Consider the following 27,712-nt stretch of genomic DNA (forward strand, 5'->3'; position numbering starts at 1 on the left):
CACTCAACAGATATATTTGTGACCACTTACTACATACCAGTCCCTACTCTATGCACTAGGAATAAAGTGATGATGGGACAGCTGTAGCAGATTGCTAGCTGATCACCAACACTCAAATAATCCTCTTCTTGGTAGATTCCATTTATCCATCTCTCTTGCAGTTAAATGTGGCTATGTGAGCTCTTGCCAATGAAATGTTAGTGGGAGTGATACATGTCCCTTTCAACCTGGCCTATAAATATTCCCATGTACTTTCCTCAATGATCTTTTCTGCTTCCACAATTGGAATGGAGGTGGCAAAAAGTGTTATTTTGCAAATTACCCCAATAGGGTTTTGACAAGCATTGAATATGGATGTGGTTATAGCTATGCTTTAAATGTGTCTCCTCCAAAATTCAGATTTTGCCAATGTGATAGTATTAAGAGGCGGGGTCATTAACAGGTGATTAGGGTATGAGGGCTCCTTGCTCATGAATAGGATCAGGGCCCTTAAAAAGAGTCTTCATACAACTTTAGACTGGCTTTTCCTTCTACCACCTTCCATGTGAAGACACAGCGTTCCTCCCTGCCAGAGGATGCAGTAAAAAGGTACCATCTTGGAAGCAGAGAGCAAGCCCTTACCAGACAACCAAACCTGCTGGCACCTTGATCTTGCACTTCTCAGCATCTGGAATTGTGAGAAATAAATTTCTGATTTTTCTAACTTACCCAGTCTCAGGTATGACAATTATTTAGCTTAATTTCAGCATGTATTTAGTGGTCAATAAATGTTGGCTTCTGTAATTATGATTACAGTCTTTAATGATCTGAGATAGGAAGAAGGTAAAAAGCCTCACATAATTCAGCAGATAGTGAAATTAGGTCTGCACTCCTGTAGACAGAGTAGCAGACTTGCTGATGGTAACAGCTTTGTCTTTCTGCACAGTTTCTCTGTTGATGAACCAAGATAATCCTAAGCTTTCTTAAAGAATATTTAAAGGACCATAATTTTGGTTATGCTAATGTAATGAAATGCAGCTTATGCCAAAAACAATATGAGAAGCTTGGTTACAGTGGTTTTGAAAATTCTAAATTTTGCTGGAACGTTTTTCATTTACACAACACTTCTGTAAAATAGCTCTGTAATAGAATCTGACTCCATGTTTTACATTTGACGGCTAACAATTTTCACGACCCACCGCTTCCTCTTCCTCTTCTTACCTAGATCTGATAAGAAAGCCCAGGTGATTCCTTCTTTAGGGCTAGTGTGAAGGTCAAACCATGCAAGCCCTAGTCTGTGTGTGGGACACTCATACCAGCTTTACCCCCTAACCGTCATAAAAGCCAAGCCATTTTTTTTTTTTTTCTCTCTGTTCTCTCAAGCATTCTTTTACCTGCTTGGAAACCTGTCCTGATCTCCCCAGAAAGCCTCATTATGTGAGTAATAAAATTTTCCATTCCCTTTTGGTGCGTGTATCATCAGTTTTGACATCCAAACCAAATTTTTGGTGTGGAATCCATCCTGTCACATTGAATCTGTGAACAGGATATCTAGGCAGTCTTCACTACCACCAGGGATCTTTTTTCTCTTGCTTTAGCTTCCTAACTGGCACTGCTACCTGCTGGTGACATGCAGTTTGAGCTACTGCCTGCGGCCTAGCTTGTATTTTAAACTGTACTGCTTTGTGCAGCATTGGTAGGGTTCTACCAAGCCTATGCTAAAGATTTCAACAACGTAAGTCAGCAGTTTAACTAATTGACATTTATTGACAGGAATATTGGGTTGGAGCCCTTCTTAATGCAGCCCTGAATCTTGTGTTTCAGCCTGGATCTGTGAATTCAGATTGAATCATGTGTCTCAATTCCAATATAAGATATGACTGAAACTAGGCTCAAGGATAAACTCTTCCGTTTTTACCATCAGTTGTTTCTAAACCAGGTGTTAGTATTCTTTCTTTAGACAGTTGAGGAGAAAGACTGAGAGTCTCTTCAATATATAGGCCCACTGGTTGGTCACTCATATGGAGGGAGAGCAGTTACTATTTGAAATGCTGAGAACACACTCCTAAAAGCAGATAACTCACTAGGAGCTTTAAAAATGCTTCTTGCGATACTGTTTAGGTCAGTGTCACAAAAAAGATTTTGATCATCAGAGTTTTAGGGAGAAACATCCATGACACCCTTGTGGAAAAAACGGATTCATTCAACCATTTTCATGAAGGAGTCCCATAATCCTGATGATATTGACTTGATATGAGGTTCTCTGAAAGAAGAAACTTATATGAATAAGGTAGAGAGGAATGTCCATGAATTGTATGCAGTAACCACACACACACACACACACACACACACACACACACACACACACCTTGGGAAAGTTGCCTGGTAGAGGCACGTGTTGTTGGAGAAAAGTGAGATAACTCACATCTGTATTTAGACTTAAATATGGGTACACTGGCTCAGAAGGATTTTCGATAAGACATACAAAATATCCAGTATTGGTGAAGGCTGGGAGACAACAGAATGAATGACTGATTGGGGTAGCCATGGGGAATGCCTTGGGGGAAACACCCTTCTAAGCCATGTGACACACCACAATTAAACTAGGAGAGACAAAGAAGGGTGAGAGGTCACTTTGGAATGACCCTTATTGGTGTTGAGGAAGCTCTCCTTTTTCTCTAACCAGACCATTTAGACTCCTCTGTACCCTGTCCCTCCCCGCATGGAATTGTCAGGAGTGGTGCTTTGTGATGTGTAAGCCATGAAATTGTCAGGAGTGTTGCCTGGTGATGTCTAAGCCACCCCAGGGCTACCACTGGCAGAGTAATTTCTTGCTGGCCAATCAAACTGAAGAATGTGGAATCTCATTGTCCTGAGGAGTATATATAGAGAGAGATCATGAGGCCTGGAGTAGGCTACTGTTGCTCTAGGGTGGCAGGGGTTAGGGAAAAATCAGGAGAGGCTGTAGGCTACTGTTCATCTAGGATGGCAGAGTTTAGTGAAGAAGAGGAAGACACTGTACGCTACTGTTGTTCTACAATAGAAGATGTTCCTGAAGAAATAAAAGAGGCTATAGCCTACTTTTGCTCTAAGATGGCGGAGATTAACAAGGAGCCAGAAGGGAATATAGGCCACCATTGCTACATTATCCCAAAGGTTACCGAAGAAGTAGGAGAAGCTAGTTCAGACATGCCTGAACCATCCACAAGCACAAGCCAAGAAAATCCCAGCATGAAATGGAGAAAGAAAACTACTTGTGAAGCTAAAGAAGGTGAAACTGACGAGGTCAGATATCCCTAATTATGTGACTCTTCCTCCCCATTGATACCTAACCCAAGATTCCTACCTTGTCCTTATCTGGCACAAAATCTTTCCTCAACCTGTACACATCATCACAAAATCTCCCTTTCCACACATTCCCCATCCACTTCTCCAAATTAATGTCTCTTTTGGCTCACTCTGTTTTTCTTCCAGTTGTTGAAGGCAGCAAAGAAGATAAGATCATTTGTTCAGCAGAATTCAGAAAGACGTAAAGCGGGGAAAAAGTCAACTGTATTAATTTTTTATTACCACAGTAATAAAAAAAGGGATGAAAATCAGCCAAATGAGGATGAAGACAGCCACGAGTAATCTCCCACCTCAAGTGATTCTGAGAGCTCATCAGAAGACCAAGACCTATCTCATCTCTAGGTTAACCTCTAGAAATGGTCTCCTGTGCAGAGAAACTACATATTGCACCAAGATTCTTGGATGTTGGTGATTAAAATTCAACCAAAAGATTTTGAAAAGTTCTGTATATCTCTGTGGTGTTTTCTAATAATGGAGAGGGAGGGAAAGAAGGGGAAGAGCATGTGTATGAGGAGGGAGGGAGTTGAGAACCTTCCAGGTTGTGAGACAGGCTGGTAGCCACAGTTAGCCAGACATTGGGATTAAGGACTAGATGAGGAACGAGCACTGAAGACAAATTTCCTGCTTAATAATTTATTCCACAGTAAAAGAGGAAAAGGAATTGGTGTTTCTGTGTGTGTGGGAGGGTGTAGATAGGGAGAGTTGTGATGTGTATGGGGTGGTAGTATGCAACAATGGGTTTGATTCCGTTTTTGATGTTTGTCTGCCGCCAGATTTTAAGCTTCATCTCATTCCCTTCTCCTACCCCACATCTGATCAAGCTGATAAAAACAACTGGAGAGTTACTGAATTTAAAATGGAAATGAACAGATATGCCCAGCCTCAACTATTTTAATTATTCCCTTGCCTAAAATCCCCATATCCATGGCATCAATTCTTTCCAAATATCCCCTACTGATCATGGACAATCTAACCTAATGAGTAATAAATTAAAATTAAGTCTTTGGTACTTGTGATCAGCTTGAAAAATGGGACCCTATGGACTGCCTCACGCAGTTAAAATAAGTTAATAATTAACATCTTCCTCCGTTGCTTTTTAAAAAAGCCCAATCTAAATTAAAATAGAATCTTCAATAATTGAAACCCATTATATAAGACCTATTTAGAGAATTAGACCTGTATAGATGATTACCCTCACTGCTTATGCATTTAACAGCCAAATTTGGATTGTTCTTAAATCTGGAAAATATAAATGGTGCCTCAGTGTATATTACTGTAACCTTAATGCCATGGTTCCACTCATCAGGTCTTCATACCTAATATTATTCAATTTACTGATTCCATCCAATACGTATCTGGTAAATAGTTTGCAGTAATAGCAAAGTATTTGGCTAAATGTCCTGTTCACTTCCTGTTTCAACAGCCTCTCACCTGCAGTGTACTTACCTTCACCTTCAAAGGGACACAATACAACTCTACCAGGGTACTTGGTGGGGTATCTTTCCACTTCCGTCATCTCATATAATCTTCACAGGCAGAATATTAACTACATCCAGATTTTCCTAGATGCTCAGGTATGACATTACACTGATGACAACCTCTTCTGAGGAGTTTCCTATGAGACACTTCTTCAGGACATAAAAATGTTAGCAAAAAAGATCACAGAAAGGAAATCAGCCATTGCCCTCACACATAGTACAAAGCCACACTACATCAGTTAAATTTCTGAAAATTATTTGGTAATCAGAGGGCTGCTCCAATGCAACAGTGTCAAGAAAAAGCTTTTAGTCTCAGCACCCACATTTTTAAAACAAGTCTAATATCATTTAGACATTTTTGGATCCTGGAGGTAATATATTCCCTACATACAAATTTATTTAAGTGTATTTGTTCTGTCACTTGTAAATTGGTCCATCTTGAATGAAGCCACCTGCAACAAAAGGCTCTGGAATTTGTCTAAATTGCTATGCAACAGGCACTTGTGTTAGGTCTCCCCAGAGACTTAAGCACTGTAGAGATTTTAGCAACCTCATTTCATACTTACTGAAGTCACCAGACCAGCAATGATAGCCTTTAGTTGCCCATGGGCTTCTGATACAAGGAACTGCTCTGTTTGGCTTTATGCTATATGCCATTAGTGTGGCAACTGGTGGCAACCTACTGGGTTTTGACCAGAAATATAAGTTCTCTCAGGCCCTGTACCTGTGACCCTCAACATCTAGGTGTTCATTATGCCTGGGTCCTGGAATTAGCAACCAGTTAGCTCATCATGGCTAGTGAATCTTCCTCACTACAGGATGGAGCCACACCTGATTTTTCTGTATGTTCCCACCTACAGGAGACGGTAACTCCTCTGTCCTCAGTCCCTCACTAGATTCCACAGTTCTGTAAGACGACATTGCTCTCTCAGACTCCTTGGATAACCAGGGAGTCCCTTAGAATCAACAGAGTGACTACCGAAGGATTATCATTCACTATTACCAATGGCATTACCACCCTCACCCCTAATAGAGGTTGCTTGGGAACTGCTGCTTTTCATATCTTAACCAAGATTTCCCTGATAAAGGACAAAACCCAAGATTCAGTTGGCCAAACTAAACAATCATCTTAACACTGGATGTCCTGGCCATTAATTGACCTCATCTGAACATTTTTAGAGACCTTTGAGCTATTGTCAATTGTCTGACTATTTGGTCTGGTGTTGTGGGAAGTCAGGGACCCCAAATGGACGGAACGGCTGAAGCCATGGCAGAAGAACGTGAATTGTGAAGATTTCATGGACATTTATTAGTTCCCCAAATTAATACTTTTGTAATTTCTTATGCCTGTCTTTACTGCAGTCTCTAAACATAACTTGTAAAGATTTCATGGACACTTATCACTTCCCCAATCAATACCCTTGTGGTTTCCTATGCCGTCTTTACTTTAATCTCTTAATCCTGTCAGCTGATGAGGATGTATATCGCCTCAGGGCCCTGTAATAATTGCATTAACTGCACAAATTGTACAGCATGTGTGTTTGAGCAATATGAAATGTGGGCACCTTGAAAAAAGAACAGGATAACAGCAGTTGTTCAGGGAATAAGAGAGATAACCTTAAACTCTGACCGCTGGTAAGCCGGTTGAAACAGAGCCATATTTCTCTTCTTTCAAAAGCAAATGGGAGAAATATTGCTGAATTCTTTTTCTCAGCATGGAACATCCCTGAGAAAGAGAATGCGTACCTGGGGGTGGGTTTCTGAACTGCCCCCCCGGGCGTGGTTGTCTCTTTTGGTCGAGACTGCAGAGGTGAAATAGAGTCCAGTCTCCCATAGTGCTCCCAGGCTGATTAGGAAGAGGAAATTCCCACCTAATAAATTTTGGTCAGACCGGTTGATCTCAAAACGCTGTCTCCTGATAAGATGTTATCAATGACAATGGTGCCCGAAACTTCATTAGCAATTTTAATTCTGCCTCGGTCCTGTGGTCCTATCATCTCACCCTGCCTCCACTTGCCTTGTGATATTCTATTACCTTGTAAAGTACTTGATGTCTGTGATCCACACCTATTTGCACACTCCCTCCCCTTTTGAAACTCCCTAATAAAAACTTGCTGGTTTTTGTGGCTTGTGGGGCATCACGGAACCTACGGACACGTGATGTCTCCCCCGGACGCCCAGCTTTAAAATTTCTCTCTTTTGTACTCTGTCCCTTTATTTCTCAAGCTGGCCGACGCTTGAGGAAAATAGAAAAGAACCTACGTGAATATTGGGGCAGATTACCCAATAGTCTGGCCATTGAGAAAACAATTCTTTATCCAAGTTTGCCCCATTTGGGTTAAAGAACTCTTGAATTATTTTGACTCATAGATGCCCCAAATGTAAATTAAGATTATGCATTTCTCTGTACATATGAAAACCTCAATACCATGTTCTTACCAAGGCATTCCTTTGTGTTTGGTGTTGTAGACTTTTGAGTTCCAGACATCATTGATAGTGACCAAGATACTCATTTCACTTCTTAAAATAAACAACATTCAGCTCTTGAATAAGGCAATGGAACTTTTACCTTCCTTGTTGATTTTAGGTAGGAGGCCTCATAGAATGTTATTTAAACTAGTTCAAAATAAATACAACATGGCAAATTTCAGTTGTCAGTCAAGCATCAGGGCCGAAGTTTCATACAGTCTTACTCCATTTTTGTTGTTTGACTCATGTAAATAATAATCCTTATTGTACCCTCTTGGTGCATGTGTGGCACCATTAGTCTTGACTTTGAAACCAAATTTTGAGTGTTGGGTATAAATTCCACTTCTTCAGGATGACTATAAGAAGCTCATATACTGCATACTATATATATATATATGCATATATATTTATGCATATTATGCATTTATCTAATATATGCATTAGTGGTCATATGAATATGACATTTTATTGTACCAATGTCTCAGCAAACAAATATTTTATGGAGTGCCTGATATGTGTCAGACCTGTTCTAGGTCCTGGGCTTACAGTTAAGAATGTATAGTCTGTAGTTATGCAGTTGTTTAATTTATATTTACATGGTCAAAGGGAAGGGTGAGAATGGTGGTAGTGGGACAGAGGCCAACATTTTACTTAGGAGATGTGGGAAAATCTCTGAGGAGTTGACTTTTGAATTCAGAACTAAACAGTGAGATAGAATCTGCTGTGTGAAGACTTTATAAACAACATCTTAGATATAAAGAAGAGCAAGTAGCAATGTCATGAAGTAAGAATAAGGACAAAGTGTTGAGGAGCAGCAAATAGGCAAGTATGCCTGGAGTAGAGTGAGAGGAGGAAGAATGGAAATAGACAACTGAGACTAGAGAGCTTGGCAAAGATAAAGACACGTAGAGACTCATAGTGTTAAGAACTTGGGTTTTATTTTACATGTAGTGGAAGCCATTTTGGCTTTGATGCATGACAGTGATGTAGATTGATTTAATTTTTAGAAAGATCACTGGATGTTGCAGATTTGATAAGACCACAGATGTGACAGATTGTAGCAACAATGCATGTATAAGATAATATTAGCTAAGACTAGGCTTGTAGCAGGAAGAATGTAACTTAGTATCTAACATAGCAGTTTAGGGGATAGGCTTTGAAGTTTGACCTCATTTTAAAGTATCACCACCTAAAGGCTATTTGTCCCTGAGCAAGTTCCTTAACCTCTGTAAGGATTAATTCCCTGATGTATAAAATGAGATGATAATGGTACGCCTCTATGTCCTAGGGTCACTCTGGAATTGAATGAAGTAATTTATGTAAAAAACTTGGTACTATATTAGACACATAATAGGCATTTGATAAAATGGCTACTGTTATTAACAACCATAATATAAATAAATACATAAATAAAAGCAAGCTACTTCTTGCTTTTCTTTGCCAACTCTCCAAGTGCTAGCATGTCATGTATAAGCTGCTGTTAACTCATGATTACTGAGCCCTTATTTGTTTTTATTGAAGACACAATTATCTTTGGTCACCTGTGCTCAATAGCTAGGCATTCTGGTACCCTTATGTATTAGTTCATTCTCACGCTGCTATGAAGAAATACCCAAGACTGGGTAATTTGTAAAGAAACAAGTGTTAATTGACTCACAGTTCTGCATGGCTGGGAAAGTCTCAGGAAATTTTCAATCGTGGTGGAAGGGAAAGCAAACACATCCTTCTTCACAAGGCAACAAGAGAGAGGTACTGAGCAAAAGGGAAAAAAGTCCCTTATAAAACCATCAGATCTCCTGAGAACTCACTATCATGAGAACAGCATGAGGATAACTGACCCCATGATTCAATTACTTCCAAACAGGTCCCTCCCACAACATGTGGGGATTATGGGAACTACAATTTAAAAAGAGACTTGGATGGGGACACAGCCAATCCATATCACCTTAGATACTTCATAATAACTGGTCATATATGGCTTATGATTAATTTATAAAATGAAGTTGTGGTAGTGGCTGATCTATGACATTTTCTCTTTGTACCTGATGAGTCATCATTTGAACATCTCTCCTCTCCAACCTCCTTCCACAGGTGTAAATGAGCAGCAACCCATGTTTCTAACCTAACTGCAGACAAGTTGCTTAACTTAGCCAGATTTCTTTGGTGTTTTTTTTTTCTGTTAAATGCATATTTGTGTGTTTCTTCATCCAGAAAACAATGTTTGCATTTTTTTGAAGCCAGTTCTCATTTTATTACTTTCAAACCAGAACTTTCTCTAAATATCTTTGTCCCTTGGTGCTTTTAGTTGTTTGCCCCATGCTTTTATCCTGGACATCTGATACCTCATGAGATATGATGGTTTTATAAATGGGAGTTCCCCTGCATAAGATTTCTTGCCTGCCTCCATGTAAGATGTGATTTTGCTCCTCATTTGCCTTCTGCCATGATTGTGAGGCATCTCCAGCAATGTGGAACTGTGAGTCAATTAAACTCTTTCCTTTATAAATTACCCAGTCTTGGGTTTGTCTTTATTAGCAGCAAACTAATACAGCAACAGACTAATACAGCAAATTGGTACCGCAGAGAGTGGAGCACTGCTGTAAAGATATCCAAACATGTGGAAGCGTCTTTGGACCTGGGTAACAGCCACAGGTTGGAACAGAGGTTTGGAGGTCTCAGGAGAGGACAGGAAGATATGGAGAACTTTGGAACTTCCTAGAGACTTGTTGAATGGCCTTGACCAAAAGGCAGATAGTGATATAGACAATAAAGTCCAGGCTGAGGTGGTCTCAGATGGAGATGAGGAACTTGGGAACTGGAGTAAAGGTCATTCTTGCCATAGAAAGAGACTTATGGCATTTTGCCTCTGCCCTAGAGATCTGTGGAACTTTGAACTTGAGAGAGATAATTTAGGGTATCTGGCAGAAGAAATTTCTAAGCAGCAAAGTGTTCAAGAGGAAACAGAGCATAAAACTTGGAAAAGTTTACAGCCTGATAATGCAATAGAAAAGAAAAACCTATTTTCTGGGGAGAACTTCAAGCCAGCTCCAAAAATTTGCATAAGTAATGAGGAACCAAATACTAATTGTTAAAACAATGGGGAAAATGACTCCAGGGCATGTCAGAGACCTTCATTGCAGCCCCTTCCATCACAGGCCTGGAGGCCTAGAAGAGAAAAATGGTTTCTTGTGCCAGATCCAGGGACCCTCTGCTGTGTGTAGCCTCTTGACTTGGTGCCTGCTTCCTAGGCACTTCAGTCCAAGGTTAAAAGTGGCCAAGGTGCATCTCAGGCCATTGCTTCAGAGGATTCAAGTCCTAAGCCTTGGTAGCTTCCACATGATGTTGGTCCCGTGGGTATGTGGAAGACAAAAATTGAGATTTGGGAACCTCTTACTACTAGATTTCAGAGGATATATAGAAACACATGGCTGTCCAGGCAGAGGTGTGCTGCAGGGGTGGACCCCTCATGGAGAACCTCTGCTTGGCCTGTGTGGAAGGGAAATGTGGGGTCAGAACCCCCACACAGAGTCCCCACTGGGGCACTGCCTAGTGTAGCTGTGGGAAGAGGGCCACTGTCCTCCAGACCCCAGAATGGTAGATCCACTGACAGCTTGCACCGTGCACCTAAAAAAGCTGCAGACACTCAATGCCAGCCTGTGAAAACAGCTGGGAGAGGGGCTGTACCCTGCAAAGCCACAGGGGCAGAGCTGCCCAAGGCCATGGGAGTCCACTACTTGCATCAGCGTGAACTGGATGTGATACATGGAGTCAAAGGAGATCATGTTGGAACTTTAAGGTTTAATGACTGCCCTGTTGGATTTTGGACTTGAATGGGGCCTGTAGCCCCTTTGTTTTGGCCAATTTCTCCCATGTGGAATGGGCGTCTTTACCCAGTGCCTATACTTGCATTGTGTCTCGGAAGTAACTAACTTGCTTTTGATTTTACAGGCTCATAGGCAGAAGGGACTTACCTTGTCTCAGATGAGACCTTGGCCTGTGGACTTTTGAGTTAATGCTGAAATGATTTAAGCCTTTGGGGGACTTTTGGGAAGGCATGATTGGTTTTGAAATGTGAGGACATGAGATTTGGGAGGGGCCGGTGGCAGAATGATATGGTTGGCTGTGTCCCCATCCAAATCTCACCTCGAATTGTAATAATTCCCATGTCAAGGGTTGGGCCAGGTGGAGATAATTGAATCATGGTGGTGACTTCTGCCCTACTGTTGCCATGGTAGTGAATACATCTCAGGAGATCTGATGGTTTTATAAATGGGAGTTAACCTGCACAAGCTCTCTTGCCTGCTGCCACGTAAGATGTGACTTTGCTGCTCATTTGCCTTCTGCGATGATTGTGAGGCTTCCCCAGTCATGTGGAATTGTGAGTCCATTAAACCTCTTTCCTTTATAAATTACCCAGTCTCAGTTATGTCTTTATTAGTAGTATAAGAACAGACTAATACACTGTCTTTCCACATTATTGTCATTTAGAACTATAATTAACAAGCTGTAGGCTGGGCATGGTGGCTCACGCCTATTATCCCAGCACTTTGGAAGGTGTGGTGGGCAGATCACGAGGTCAGGAGTTCGAGACCAGCCTGGCCAATATGGTGACACCGAATCTCTAATAAAAATACGAAAATTAGGGGGCCGTGGTGGCATGCACCTGTAGTTTCAGCTATTCGGGAGGCTGAGGCAGAAGAACTCTTTTGAATCCAGGAGGCGGAGATTGCAGTGAGCCGAGACCATGCCACTGCACTCCAGCCTGGGCGACAGAGTGAGACTCCATCTCAAAAACACACACACAGACACAAATAAACAAACAAAAAACCAAGCTGTTTACTGCTCCTTACATGTCACTGATGAGCAAGTAAAATAGTGCTACGTGTTTTTCCTTCCTCTTTGAATTAATTGCTTTCTCTTCCCCACCTATGTCTGATGAGTGATGAAAGCTTAATCATTCTTCAAGGCTAAGATCAAATGTTGCTCCCACTCTGATGTCTCCCCACCACCAACCCCAGCAGAGTTAGTGGCTCCTGTTGTCCTACTACTACTTGTATTAGAGCACTTACCATGTTGTATTAAAATCATTGATTTACAACTTTGTCTCCCTCATTATACAATATACACCAGGAAGAAGCATATTTCATTCATTTTTGTAATTGCAACCACCTTAATACACTTATCACAACATCATGGTGGCTGCTCAATGTATGTTTGATGAATAAATGGAAGACAAAACAATCATCAATTTTATACATGTTAGGTTATTTTCTGAATCTGCTGTATAATGTTTTATTTAGAAATGTTGCTGTGGTTTGAATGTGTCCCCAAAATTGCATGTATTGAAAATATAATCCTCAGATTCATATGTCAATAGGAGGTGAGGTATTTGGGAAGTAATTTGGATTGGATAAGTTCATCAGGATGGAGCCCCTATGATATGGGAATAGTAGCTTTATAGGAAGAGGTTAGAGATACCTGGGCTGACTCCAATGCTGTTGCCCTCTCACCATGTGATGCCATCTCTCATCTTATGATGTAGGAAGAAGGCCCTCACCAGATGCTAACACCATGCCCTTGGACTTCCCAGTTCTAGAAAAATGAGCTAAATAAACTTTTTGTTCTGTTTTGGTTTTTTTTTTTTTGAGATGGATTCTCGCTCTGTCACCCAGGCTGTAGTGCAGTGGTGTGATCTTGGCTGACTGCAACCTCCGCCTGGGGTTCAAGCAATTTTTCTGCCTCAGTCTCCTGAGGAGCTGGGACTACAGGCTCCTGCCACAATGCCCAGCAATTTTTTTTTTTTTTGTATTTTTAGTAGAGATGGGGTTTCACCATGTTAGCGAGGATGGTCTCAATCTCCTGACCTTGTGATCTGCCCACCTTGGTCTCCCAAAGTGGTGGGATTACAGGCGTGAGCCACCACGCCCAGCCATAAAGTCCTATTGTTTTTAATTTAGCCGGTATGTAGTATTACATTTTAGTAAGATAAAATGGATTAAGACAAAGGTTAAAGCTTAAAATCATTTAAAAATTTTATTTAAAAAAAATTCAGGGTGGGGCATGGTGGCTCACGCCCGTAATCCTAGCATTGTGGCAGGCTGAGGCGAATGGATCACAAGATCAGGAGTTCAAGACCAGCCTGACCAATATGGTGAAACCCCATCTCTACTAAAAATACAAAAATTACCTGGATGTGGTGGTGCATGCTTGTAGTCCCAACTACTTGGGAGGCTGAGGCAGGAGAATCGCTTGAACTCGGGAGGTGGAGGTTGCAGTGAACCGAGATCACACCACTGCACTCCAGCCTGGGTGACAGAGCAAGCCTCCATCTAAAAAAAAAAAAAAAAAAAAAATTCAAGTTACAAGAAAGTTTAAAAATACATAAAACACTGAAAACCAAAAATATCCAGCAATATGCACAATATTGGCAACTATCTTTTCATATATACATAGCTTTATACATATAAACGCTCATATGTGAATTTATGTAAGAGTTATGTATACACGTATATACATATATGTATATATTGTTTAGAAAGACCATCTCTATAAAATTTTGCATTTCTTTACTCTCTCCTCCAATTGGATAACCAATGTTAAAAGGTGATTGTGCATTTTTCCATATCTTTGCCAATTTCATATAGTAATATAGCATATATACATATACGTACACCTGTATAGAAGCACTATTTTACTCTTTAATGCATCTTGGTTATATAACTTAGAAACACTACATAAAAATCTATCCACATTTTCTGGTATAGAATTATCATACTTTTAAATGTAGTCATGTGAATGAGGATGGCTTAAATGAAACTTATTAAGCCATTTCTCTATTGCAGGCATTCAGGTTGATTCCAGTTTTTGGCCACTGCACTTTATTGGTCTTTTTTGGCTGCTATAACACAATACCACAGAATGGGTTGTTCAAACAACAGAAATTTATTTCTCATTGTCTGGAGACCAGAAATCTGAGATTAGCGTGCCAGTATGATGCGTTCTGGTGATGATTTTTTTCCTAGTTATAGACAGTGGCCTTCTCATTGCATCCTCACATGGAAGGGAGAGCAAGCTCTCTAGTGTCTGTTACAAGGGCACTAATTCTATCAGATAAAGGCCCCACCCTTACGAACTCATCTAATCTTAATTACTTCCTTAGAGGCCCCATCTCCAAATACAACCATGGAGGGTGTATTAGTTTTCATACTGCTATAAAGATACCACCTGAGAGTACATAATTCATAAACTAAGGAGATTTAAGTGACTCACATTTCCTCATGGCTGGGGAGGCTTTAGGAAAATTACAATCATGGCAGAAGTGGAAGCAGGCACATCTTACGTGGCGGCAGGCGAGAGAGCCAGAGAGCGAAGAAGGAACTTGCTAATAACTTACAAAACCATCAGATCTCATGAGAACTCACTCACAATCGTGAGAACAGCATGGGTGAAACTGCCCCCCTGATTTAATCATCTCTCACCAGCTTCCTCCCTCAACACCTGGGAATTACCATATGAGATGAGATTTGGGTGGAGACATAGAGACAAACCATTTCATTCTGCCACTGGCCCCTCCCAAATCTCATGTCTTGTCACATTTCAAAACAAATTATGCCTTTCCAACAGCCCCCCAAAGTCTTAACTCATTTCAACAGTAACTCAAAAGTCCACAGTCCAAACTCACATCTGAGACAAGGCAAGTCCCTTCTACCTATGAGCCTGCAAAATCAAAAGCAAGCTAGTTACTTCCAAGACACAAAGGGGGTAAAGCCATTGATAAATGTTCTAATTGCAAATTGGAGAAATTGGCCAAAACAAAGTGGCTACAGGCCCCACGCAAGTCCGGAATCCAACAGGGCAGTCATGATATTTTAAAGCTCCAAAATGATCTCCTTTGAATCCATGTTTCACATCCAGGTCACTCTGGCACAAGAGGTGGGTTCCCATGATCTTGGGCAGCTCTGCCCCTGTGGCTTTGCAGGGTATAGCCCCACTCTCAGCTGCTTTCACAGGCTAGCATTGAGTATCTGTGGCTTTTCCAGGTGCACAGTGCAAGCTGTCTGTGGATCTATCATTTTTGGGTCTGGAGGATGGTAGCTGCCTTCTTACATTCTAGTAGACAGTGCCTCAGTGAGGACTCTGTGTGGGGGCTCCAACCCCACATTTCCCTTCTGCACTGCCCTAGCAGAGGTTCTCCACGTGGGCTCCACCCGTGCAGCAAATTTCTGCCTGGACAATCAGTTATTTCCATAAATCCTCTGTAATCTAGGCAGAGGTCCCTAAACCTCAATTTTTGAGTTCTGTGCTCCCACAGACCCAACACCACATGGAAGCCACCAAAGCTTGGGTCTTGCACCCTCTGAAACAACAGCCCAAGCTGTACCTTGGCCCCTTTTAGCCAAGGCTGGAGCTGGAGCAGCTGGGACACAGGGCATCAATTCTTGATGCTGCACACAGCAGGGGGCCATGGGCCCTGCCCAGTGAACCAGTTTTTTCTTCTTGGCCTCTGGGCCTATGATGGGAGGGGCTGCCAGCAAGATCTCTGAAATGCCACGGAGACATTTTCCCCATTGTCTTGGTGATTAACAATAGGCTTTTCATTACTTATGCAAATTTCTGCAACTGGCTTAAATTTCTCCCAGGAAAATGGGTTTTTCTTTTCTATTGCATTGTCAGGTTGCAAATAATCTAAACTTCTATGCTCTGCTTCCTCTGGAACACTTTGCCACTTAGAAATTTCTTCTGGCAGATACCATCAATCATCTCTGTCAAGTTAAAAGTTCCACAGATCTCCAGGGCAGGGGCAAAATGCTACCAGTCTCTTTGCTAAACATAGCAAGAGTGATTTTTACTCTAGTTCCCAATAAGTTTCTCATCTCCACCCGAGACCACCTCAGCCTGGACTTCACTGTTCACATCACTATCCACATTTTGGTCAAAACCATACGAGTCTCTAGGAAGCTCCGAACTTTCTCACATCTTCCTGCCTTCTTCTGAGCCCTCCAAACTGTTCCAACCTCTGCCCATTACCCAGTTCCAAAGTCACTTTCACATTTTCAAGTATCTTTATAGCAGCGCCCCACTCTGTGCTATCAATTTACTGAATTAGTCCATTTTCACACTGCTATAAAGATATTCTCAAGACGAGGTAATTCATGAACAAAGGAAGTTTAATCAACTCACAGTTCTGCATGTCTCGGGACACCTCAGGAAACTTACAATCATGGTGGAAGGGAAAGCAGGCACATCTTACATGGTGGCAGTTGAGAGAGCCAGCAAGCGGATGAGAAACTTACCAAACACTTACAATACCATCGGATCTCGTGAGAATTCACTTATTATCATGATAACAGCATGAGAGAAACCACCCCCATTATCCAGATCATCCCCCACCAGATTCCCCTCTCAACACCTGCGGATTACAATTCGAGATGGTATTTGGGTGGGGATACAGAGCCAAACCATATCAGGGGGATTAGGGCTTCCACATATGGATTTTGGGAAGGCATAAATATGTAGTCTGTATCTCTCGTGCTGCATACTGAGTCATGTGCTGCATACCAATATTTCAGTCAATGATGCACTGCATATACTATGGTGTTTTCCTAAGATTATAATAGAGCTGAAAAGTTCCTTTTGCCTAGTAACATTGTAGCAGAATGCAATACTCATATGTTTGTGATAATTCTGGTATAAACAAACCTACTCTACTACCAGTAATATAAATGTGTAGCTCATACAATTATGTGTAGTAAATAATATTTGATGATGACAACAAACAAATATGTTGCTGGTTGTATATTGTGAAAGGAAAATAAATCTTGGGACCCCAAAATTACTAAGCTAAAGAAAAAAGTTAAGCTGGGAACTGCTTAGGGCAAAACTGCCTCCCATTCGATTCAAAGTCATTTTTCTGCTCACTGAGATAAATGTGTATCTGATTGCCTCCTTTGGAAAGGCTAATCAGAAACTCAAAAGAATGCAACAATTTGTCTCATCTACCTGTGACATGGAAGCCCCTTCCTTTGCTTTGAGTTGTCCCGCCTTTCTGAACTGAACCATTGTTCATCTTACATATATTGATGGATGTTTTGTGTTTCCCTAAAATGTATAAAACCAGCTGTACCCCGACCACCTCAGGCACATGTCATCAGGACCTCCTGAGGCTGTGTCATGGGTGTGCATCCTTAACTTTGGCAAAATAAACTTCCTAATTGTCTGAGACCTGTTTCAGATATTTGGGGTTCACAGTATTCACCATGCTATCCGTAATTTTCATCACGATTTTAGAATGTACTTCTTCTGGAATAATGTTAACTATAAAACAGTCTGAGGTCAGTCCTTCAGGAGGTATTTCAGAAGAAGTCATTGTTATCATAAAAGATGACAGCTCCATTCCTGTTATTGCCACTGAAAAACTTACAGTGGGACAAGTTGTGGAGGTGGACAACAGTGATATTGACAATCCTGACCCTGTGTAGCCCTAGGCAAATGTGTGTTTATGTCTTTAAAGAAAAAGTTTAAAAAGTGCAATAAATTTAAAAATAGAGGAAAGCTTATAGAATAAGGATATGAATAATTAAGATATGTTTGTACAGCTGTGTAATGTGTTTAGTTTTTAAGCTAAATGTTATTATGAAGGATTTAAAAAGTTGAAAGTGTATAACGTAAAAAAGTTACAGGAAGATAAGGTTAATTTATTATTGAAGGAAGAAAACTGTTTTAATATATTTAGTGTAGTCTAAGTGTTCAATTTTTATAAAGTCTGTAGTAGTTCACAGTAAGGCCTTCACATCCATTCACCACTCATTCACAGACTCACCCAGACTAATTTCCAGTCCTGTAAGCTCCATTCATGGTAAGTGCCCTATACAAGTGTGCCATATTTATCTTTTATACCATACATTTACTTTAAGTTTTCTATGTTTAGGTACACAAATACTTTCCATTGTCTTACAATTGCCTAAGTATTTAGTACAGTAAAATGCTGTACACGTCGTGGCCTGGGAGAAATAGGCTGTACCGTATAGCTTAGGTGTATGGTATGCTATACCATCTAGGTTTGTGTATGTACACTCTATGATGTTTACCCAATGATGAAAGCTGCCTAACAACACATTTCTCAAAACACATTCCCATAGTTAAGTGATGCATCATTGTATATGTACAGATTCCTACAAATCGAGATGAAAACAGAAACAGAAACGAGCTAATAAAAAATCATGCAAGTGTTTAATAACTTTAATAAGAAATGATTCAGAGGATAAGCATACGAATAACTAGTAAACACATAGAAAGGTTAATTGCGTTTGTATCCTGGAAAATGCAAAGTTTTTCTTATTCGTGTTTGTAAATATACAAATGATTCTCATGCAAGAAATATTAGCGGTAAATGACACTCCTGACTTGTTTGGTGCTAGATACTATGCTAAACACTTTACCTGAATTATTTCATGTTATTGTGAAACAGCATTTTGAGATACACATCCTTAACCCCAAGCTACAGATGGGGAATCTGAGAAACAGTGAGGTTAGGTAGGATGTACTGCTTAAAGTCATATAGGTTACAAATAGTAAATCTGAGCCAGAACCTGGATCTAGATCACACACTTCTGTGGCCTCTCATTAGTGACAGCAACAGCAAATACATTCAGTAGGTAGTAGACTCTGTTCTAAACACTTAACATGAATTAATGAATTTAATTCTACAACAGGCTTATTACGTAGTTGATATGTGACTATTATCTCCATTTTGCAGATGAGAAAATAGAGGCAGAGAGCGCATAAATAGCAGTCAGTAGAATCAAAATTTCAATCCTGGAAGACTGACTCCAAAGTCCACAGCCATAATCCACACTAAAATGCAAAAAGCTAAAACCTGCTGCTTGGGGAGATTCAGAGTCTAAAATAGAAATTTGTCTTTGACCTTTAAAAAAATATTTTTTCAGGCATAGGCACAGACAAGTATGTTATTCTGCACTGTCACATATTAGGGTGTGTTATCATTGGGAGAAAACAACAGCTCTTATTGACAGGATTAAAAAACAAATGATAAGTGATCCTACTGTAGGGAAATGCCAGAAACTGTTTTTTTTTTTTTTTTTTTTTTTTTTTTTTTGACAGAGTTTCGCTCTTGTTGCCCAGGCTGGAGCGCAATGGCGTGATTTCGGCTCACTGCAACTTTTGCCTCCCGGGTTCAAGTGATTCTCCTGCCTCACCCTCCCTGAGTAGCTGGGATTACAGGCATGCACCACCACGCCTGGCTAATTTTGTATTTTTAGTAGAGACGGGGTTTCTCCATGTTGCTCAGGCTGGTCTCGAACTCCCAACCTCAGATAATCCGCCCGCCTTGGCCTCCCAAAGTGCTGGGATTACAGGCGTGAGCCACTGTGCCTGGCAACCAGCAACTGTTAATAAGAACTGCTTTTAATTTCCATTGAGTAAAACAAGAAAAAAGTGGAATTTCATCATTTTCATTTCAACTCGAATACATTCTCAGTGACTTCCCTGCAACTTTCTGCATTAACTCAGTGGTAGTAAATAGTTTGTCAGCTATTGACAAACGTTAATAAATTGTTCTACATCAAGAGCGACAAATGTTCCTCACCTGCGTATTACACAGTGGTGGCAAAAGTGAAGAAATAAAACCATGTAATCCTTGTGCTCTCTAATCAGTTGAGGATGAAGTTAATTTGAGACCTTTTGGAATGAGAAGCCAGGTTTTTGCCAAACAGCAATCAAAAAAGCATTACCCTTTTGCTGCTGACAGGAAAGTTCAAAAATTCCATCATGTTCCAGTTTCTCAGCAGTTGATAAAGGTTAATAAAACAAGGTTTTAGGAGGGTAGCGTTTGTACATTTTTTATGCTCTTAAAGGACAGTTCTCATTAGCTCCACATGGCTGAGTTCTCATACTCTTCTCATATTTCAACTGCAGCGTGTCCCTACTTCCTGCTTTGCATGGACCAATAAACTGTGGATAGAGCTCCCAATTCTGATAGCTGAGAAGAGAGATGAAGCCCTTTAAGTAATCTTAGCCAGTGACAGTAAATGGGTAAGAGGAGTTAAGGTTTGCACTAAAGTCTCATGGGAAGAGAACGTCTGTTTTGTGGAATTATAAACATCAAATTAGAATGGGCAATTGATTATTTTGTAGAATTCCCGAGGTAGTTGGGTAGCAAATTTTTTATGGGATTTTACAAATGGCAAGTAATTTCTTCCCGGATGAGGAAATGTTATATCTCATATTTAACAATGTCTGTATGTTTCATTCTCTTATACCTCAGCAATTTGATATTTAAATGTGATTAATACTGTTGTTTCAGAAAGTATTATATTAATTTTCAAATTATTTTGAGAATATGCTACATGGCAAAATACTATACCTTGAAGAAAATAAGTGCACTCTTCGCTTACAAAAAAATAAAAACTATGAGTGTACAAAAATAACTTATTTCTGAGTAATTATATTTTTTTCTAACTTAATTTCTCTGGACTTCAGTTTTTCATCTTCAGAATGTGAACATAGTGCATATATTTCTGGTTTCATAGGGAGGATTAGAGGAACTCTTTCATATAAAATTCTTATACTGTATAGTGCGTAATAAGCACTCAAATATTAACTGTTAGTACTGTCATTTTGGTATATTTATTATTATTAGGTAGTTTAGTAGCTTATTAGATAAGGTTTATGCAGGTAACAAAATACATATGGACCTCGGCAGCTCATTTGGAAACTATTTCTCATAATATATTGTAGACAATATGAAGAAATATAAGCATGATTGTGTTTCTAACTGGCCGCATTATAGCTGATTGTACTGTAATACAACTAGAGAGAGATTTATAATTGTATACCACAGGACACTAGCCCAAACCTTGTCTTGATTATGGTTATTTTCAGTGAGTTAGATAAAGCAGTTAAGTGTTTGCTCATCAAATTCATGGATAAAGTTGTAAGGGAGAACAAATAGTTTTGGTGAGGGAATTAGAATCTAAAAACATATTGACAAGCTGGGATGATAGACAAAATATATCAGAATGAAATTTAATAAAAATTGATATAAATCTACACCCTTGAGATCAAAAATCTAATACACATATTCATGTTTGGGGGCATCATTTCATAGCAGCACTTGCAGAAGACGGTTTAGTGTCAGTGGTAAACTCAGTGTGAATCACAGTATAATTTGTGTCATTTTCCAAAAGAATGTATGCTATCTTAGACTGCATGAATGAATGCTATCTTAGACTGCATAAATGAAAGTATAGTGACTAAAATGAGAGAGACACTTCACTTCACTTTGTCCAATAGTAATTAACAGTCTATTCAGTTTGGAGAGGTGTTAAAATGTTTAAAGTGAATAATAAGAAATGAAGACTATTCAGAGTAGAATGATTTTCCAACATGATGGAAGGAACTGAGGCTATCTAACCTTGAGAGGGACGACTAAGGAGGGACAGGGCACCTGCACTCTGAAGATCAGTTATGTGTGTGATTGTTGGACATTTAAAACATAAGAATAATGTTCTGCCATTCTGTTGTCTTCCACTGAGGGGTAAAACATAAAAAAACACAATCGTTAAGAGTCTTAAGTGTGAGTGCTGTAAAGGCAGAAAAACAAAGGGCTAGAAAATGATAGCAGTAAGAGAGTTGTTACTTTATTTTAGGTTACCAGGAAAGACCTTCTGAGGAGGTGAGTTTTGAGATAAGAGCTGAAAGATGAGTAAATGAAATAAAGATATTCCAGGAAACAAGAATAACAAAAATGGTTTTATTGGTTTGTTTAAGGAATACATTTAGGCCAGTGTGGATGATGATTAGGAAGAGAAGGACAAAGTTGTTACACACAAACACACAATGTAAAAAGTACATAATGTTTTATTTTTTGTGGGTTCTTTTTACGGAAAACCCACAATATATTATATGTCTCCTAAATCTTGAGTAACAAACCATGTTAGTATATATGACTTTATTCTTGAACAACTTTCTGCCTATTCTTCCACGTTATGGATATATTATTTTATTATTGGATATATCATTTTATTATTCATAGCCCTTTGCTAATTTCTATTTTTTGTTAAAAATTTCACCCGTTTTCTCATTTATTGAGTAGTCTATCATTTTCTTAATGATTTATTGAAGATTTTTATATGCTGGATAGTAATCCTTTGTCTAGTATATGCATTGAAAATATATTTTCCTAGTTAGTGATTTGCCTCTTCACTTTATTAAGTCTTTTCAAGAAAAGAAGTTCTTATATGTAATGTAGTAAAATTTATTATTGTTTTCTTTTAGCAATTGTTTTGAATGTATGGAAAATGTGATTATAGACAAGATCATATAGGGAGAAAATGTACAGAGAAAAGAGAGGGAAGCTAAGACCAGGTCTTGAAATCATGATTTACAGTCTCCATTTTGTGTTCCAGATGAAACATTTGAGAAAAGCCCAATTTATTTTCCTTCGAAGATAACTTGTATTCCTGCTCAGATGGTTGTAAATTTTTGTGCTTGTACCTCAAAAACAGTTTGCCAGTTTATGGCCAACCCCGGTTGTCTTTTCACTGACTTTTCTTATCACATGATGATACTCTTCAAAGTATTTATTCAGCTTTTCCACCAGTTCAGAAACAATGATGCCTTGGATTAGATAGCTTCAGTTCCATGACTTCTTGTTTCTTCTTCTAGACACTGCATACCTGGATCTGTCCATATCTACAATCCTCTCTCATCATTTTCATTTCTTCATTCTCTATCTCTACATTGTGGTGAAGTTTCTTAAGCTTGTCATTCTCATTGCTAGCTTGACTGGTGATGTTTTTATTTTGTCTCTTTATTGCTTCAAGCAAAGGTTTTCATTTTGCCATTAAAATTTGATGTTGTTTTTAAATAGTTTTTGTTCATTTTTTCATTTAACCAGCTGGAGGCTCCTTGTACTTCTCAGTGTTTTGACTTATCTTTACTTCTTATTTCATAGTCTTTTCAAAAAATTGTATTAATAAAGCAAAACTTTACCCTCTTATTTCTGCCAATAAGTAATGCCCTTGTATAAAATAAGTATATTAATGTCTCTTTAGTCTATTTTCTGTTTTATCACCATAACTGTCACTTGTCTTAATTCCTAGTAATGGATGCAGACTAACTTCAAGCTAAACTACTAATTATAGCTTTTATCATTAGCTAAAATGCTTCGAGTTTATGTTTCTTTAATATGTTTATCAACATAGTTTTATACTATATACATAGAATCTGAATGTACTGTTTAATTTTTTGTTTCTTCCAACCCTCAAGAAATGATAATATTATGTTATAGGGTAGAAGAAACTGAATTTAGGTGTAGGAATATACCATTTTTCAAGGGATTATCTTAGTGCTAAATAGGCAGAGTGAGTGGGAAATCCACGATATTCAGACCCAGGCTGTTCAGATAAATCTCCGCAAGGGGAAAGCCTCAGTGGTGTGGATCAAACCCAGATGAATAATTACACTTTAACAAATTAGATAATATTTTTCTCATAGGAAATTGTGGAGAAAACAGTAGTGTATATCTGCAAGATTAAGAATGGGAGGCCACCTGATAAAGAGTCTAGATAATCAATAGTCCCTTTATTAAAAGACTTTGACTTCTCACAATTAATATAATAGCCAGGGCAAAAATTCTCAGATTATCATTCTTTGCACAGCATATAGTACGGTACTTTCACACGCACTCATTAAATCCTTTTTTGACAATTAGTGATAATGGTAGGGATGATCCAGACAAAATGAAATATCACCAAGTGACCAGTTAAAGACAGAAACAGCCAATCAAATTCCACTAATATTGACTGAATACATACTGGGCTGCAAGCTCTGTGCTGAATGGGAGGGTGCAAGACTTGGTGAGAACACATTTTTGCCCCCCTGGGAAGATCTCATAAAAGACGTTCTTGGTGCCCTTCACTTTTACGTTTTCATCTTCATGCATGCTTCTCTCTTTTCTTTTTTTCAGGAGGAAACATTAAAAATCTGATGTAGCACAGAAAGAAATAAAATATATCTTTTACTTATAGCATTGGTTAGCAAACCATAGCCTATGGGCTAAATCTTGTCTGCTACCAGCTTTTGTCAATAAAGCTTTTTTGAGCATGAAGATACGCCCATTAATTTATGTATTTTCTGTGGTTGCTTTTGTGCTATGATAGTGGAAATGAGTAGTTGGCACAGAGACTATATGGCCCACAAAGCTAAAAAAAATTACTATCTGGCTTTTTACAAAAAAGTTTGGTGATCCCCTCAAAAAACTGTTAGTCTACATTGTCCGATAGAATTCCATCCACCTTCAGTGGCCAGTATTCATATCTTGTTAAATTTTATGTGTATCTTCCAAACTCACTTGTATATCCCCTCTTTTATTATTCTCATTTGTGCCCATAAATAAGGTAGTTCAAATGAACACATTAATTGATTGAAATTATCACATGTCCACATTACTGGGTAAAATTGCCTGTATGTGCCAATGGAATATATCATTACCAAGAAGAGCATTGTTTTAGCTTTGCCATGTATATTCTGACTCTGTCGCCTTTTACTTTGCCCGCTACCCCTGTGCTTTAGCTACACTGGCCTTTTCTTGGAACTTGAGAAGCATGATCATTTTGGATGTACATTTTGCAGTGTATATTTTGGGACTGTACACTTGCCCTTCTCTGTGCCTGGGATGCTTTTAACTCCCTTGTTTGTTCAACTCTCTCTTATGTTCAAATATTACTTTCACTGAAAGGCTTTCCTTGACCACCTAATCTATAATAGCCCCTCTCTTTCCCAGAACTCTCACTTTAAAACACTCAGTGACCCCTATTATTTGCTGATATTATATGGAATAATAATTTCTTGTGTCTCCCTACCCAAGTGTTGTCTCCATTAGAATAGAGACATTTTATTTGACTCGATGTTATATTCCCACAGCTTATAACAGTGCTAGGAATTTCATAGGTACTCAACCAATATTTATAGAATGAATGAGTAGTTGGATCTAATAAATACATTAAAGAGATAGTATATCTAAGTGGTTAGGTAATTATAGCTGACATAAATTTAACTTCTAAGTGACCTTGAACAAGTTACTTTTCTGAACCTCAGTTTCCTCATTTGAAAAATTGGGATAATAACAGTACTTATCCTCTCAGAGTTTCTGTATGAATTAAAGAGTATATGGAAAAGTTCAAACATATTGTATAGTGTTATAAGTGCTTAAAGAAGAAAATTATTACCATTAATGTGGTAATTCTTGGCATTACCAAAATGCCAAGGATAATCAGGAAAGCTTTAACACAGAAAGCTTAATGCTAGCTATTGGAAAATGCATTTTTTATCATAAATAAGATTATGTTACATCAGCCAATCTGTGATCTTGCAAGTTAGTGTTGTCACAAATTGAATCCTTGGAAGTGGGAATATTAAGTTATTGTATTCAAAAATATTTATTGAGAGCCTAAACTCTGTGTTAGGTACTGTTGAGCAAATTTTTGACGATAATTTTCTCTGTGTATTTTTTTTTTTTTTTTGCCAGTCTCTTCTGATATGTTCACCAAAGAAAGCGATCCCTTAGCCCAGATCTTGGCAAGAACCAGTGTCAAAGGGATGTTCATCCAGTAATCCTGAATTGTTGGACACCCAAGAAGAGAATCAAGATGAAAATCTGTGCAGTTCTGTGAGATTTCTGTAGTACTTTGTTCTGCTTACACTTCAAAAGCAAGCTAGACTTTCAACTTAGTATAGCATTGTCATTTCCACTGATGTATTTCCTGAGTATAGATACCAACTCTCCTGATTTCCTCAGGACTAAAGGAGTTTCTGGGACAAGAAAATTATAGTTTTAAAAACAGGACAGCCCCAGCAAACTGGGACAAGTTGGTCACACTATGCATGAGGATGTGTATATATGCATATTTTTATGTATGCTAATTCATATTATAATTTACATACCATATTTATACTAGGAATCAGGTGTGTTAAATCCCATGATACACATATGTTTATACTCCAAAATCTATGTAATTACCATCTATTTCTAAAAAACATTCTAGAAACAAAAGTAATTATGAAAGGCTATTTTACTATATTTTGGACCATATATCATCATACCATATTTAGGACCTCATTTGTTAAGGCTAACTACCTGAATATCTTGAGCAGCCACAAGTTTAGCCCATTTCATGGGACTCATTATAGCAAGTGTTCATTTCTCCCACCCTCTGTTCATGTCCCCAGTTATATGAACAGGAATTTTTTGTTAGAATAGAACAAATTCTTTATTTTTGCTATGTTACAGATAATGGAAAAGCTTGCATACATGGCCACTTTGGAGGATAGACACTTTTCCTCATTTAACAAAATAGTGTGAATACATAAGACCATGCCATCATTTTTATTAATCAAAGCTGTTACCTTTTCTGAAAGAATTGTTCTATTTCCTTGAGCTCATTGTGATGAATCTTGAGTCTCCCCTCAAGAATTAAGCTGTGTTCTGGAAGATGAAAAGCAGCCCTCCCCAAAGTTATACCAAGACATATTGGAATATGCTTTTCTATTATATCTAGATATCTGGATGGAAAAATTAGACTGGGGATTTATTTTAAAAAGAGAGACATTTCATACTTGGTATTTGAAAATACGCTAGCACAGCTCTTGGAAATAAACAGTAATCTAACAATTCTGGTATGATATCCTACTGCCCAATGTTGTTTCTTCTTTTTATTGGATTGGTGCAATTACTTTTGCACCAACATAATATATTTTGATTACACTTTTCTGCCACTGTTTTCTTGATGTGAGCGATGCCATTTGAGAATTGCAAGCTTCTTGAAGACAGATAACTAGTTTATGCTTGTGTTCCCAGCGGTTAGCATGACGTCTGGTAAAGGAAGGTATTCAAGAAATGTTAGTTAAATCTATAAAGAAGAAAATATAGGGTAAAATGATTCCCCAAGAATGTGTATATTTTATCCAGAAAATTTCAAATCCAACAGTAGCTATGTAGATTTACATACACAAAGCATTGAACATCCCCAATGATCTCATTGAATCTCAAGATTTTACCAAGGCCAATTTTAGTAGCTTTGTTTCTGGGTGATTTTGTCTGGTCAATATACAGAAATAAGAATGATAATGAAAGTGATAATGATAGGAATAATAATAGGAAGAGTAGTGACTTTTTGTCTTTGTGTATCAATTCATTCAACAAATTTGACCAAGTGCCTGCTACATGCCAAAGCCCTTTTGGTGCTGTGAGTAAAATGGTGAGTACGACAAAGTTCCTCCTCTCAAGGAGGTTACAGTCTTTAGCTTTCTTTTGAGCTCCATTTCCATCATCCTATGTGCCAAATGAATATTTATGCCTCAATGTTCCATAGTGATCTCAAACTCAAAGTGTTTAAAACTGACTTCTCTCCCCCTACCAA

The 27,712-nt window shown here is 38.7% G+C and overlaps 2 long non-coding RNA genes across 2 annotated transcripts in view; both read left to right on the plus strand.

The window, feature by feature from the left end:
• SPANXA2-OT1 (SPANXA2 overlapping transcript 1) overlaps nt 1-26,962 on the plus strand; it is a 147,091-nt gene extending 120,129 nt beyond the window's left edge. The window contains exon 4 of the long non-coding RNA NR_037183.2: nt 25,822-26,962. This is a non-coding gene — a long non-coding RNA (SPANXA2 overlapping transcript 1). The remainder of the gene's footprint in view (nt 1-25,821) is intronic.
• On the plus strand, nt 2,889-3,767 carry LOC645188 (uncharacterized). The gene is made up of 2 exons (NR_171017.1): nt 2,889-3,264; nt 3,454-3,767. It is a non-coding gene; the product is annotated as an uncharacterized LOC645188 (long non-coding RNA).
• Nucleotides 26,963-27,712: the final 750 nt, after the last annotated feature.

The sequence above is a fragment of the Homo sapiens genome, chromosome X, assembly GCF_000001405.40.
Source record: "Homo sapiens chromosome X, GRCh38.p14 Primary Assembly".
NCBI classification, from domain to species: Eukaryota; Metazoa; Chordata; class Mammalia; order Primates; family Hominidae; genus Homo; species Homo sapiens.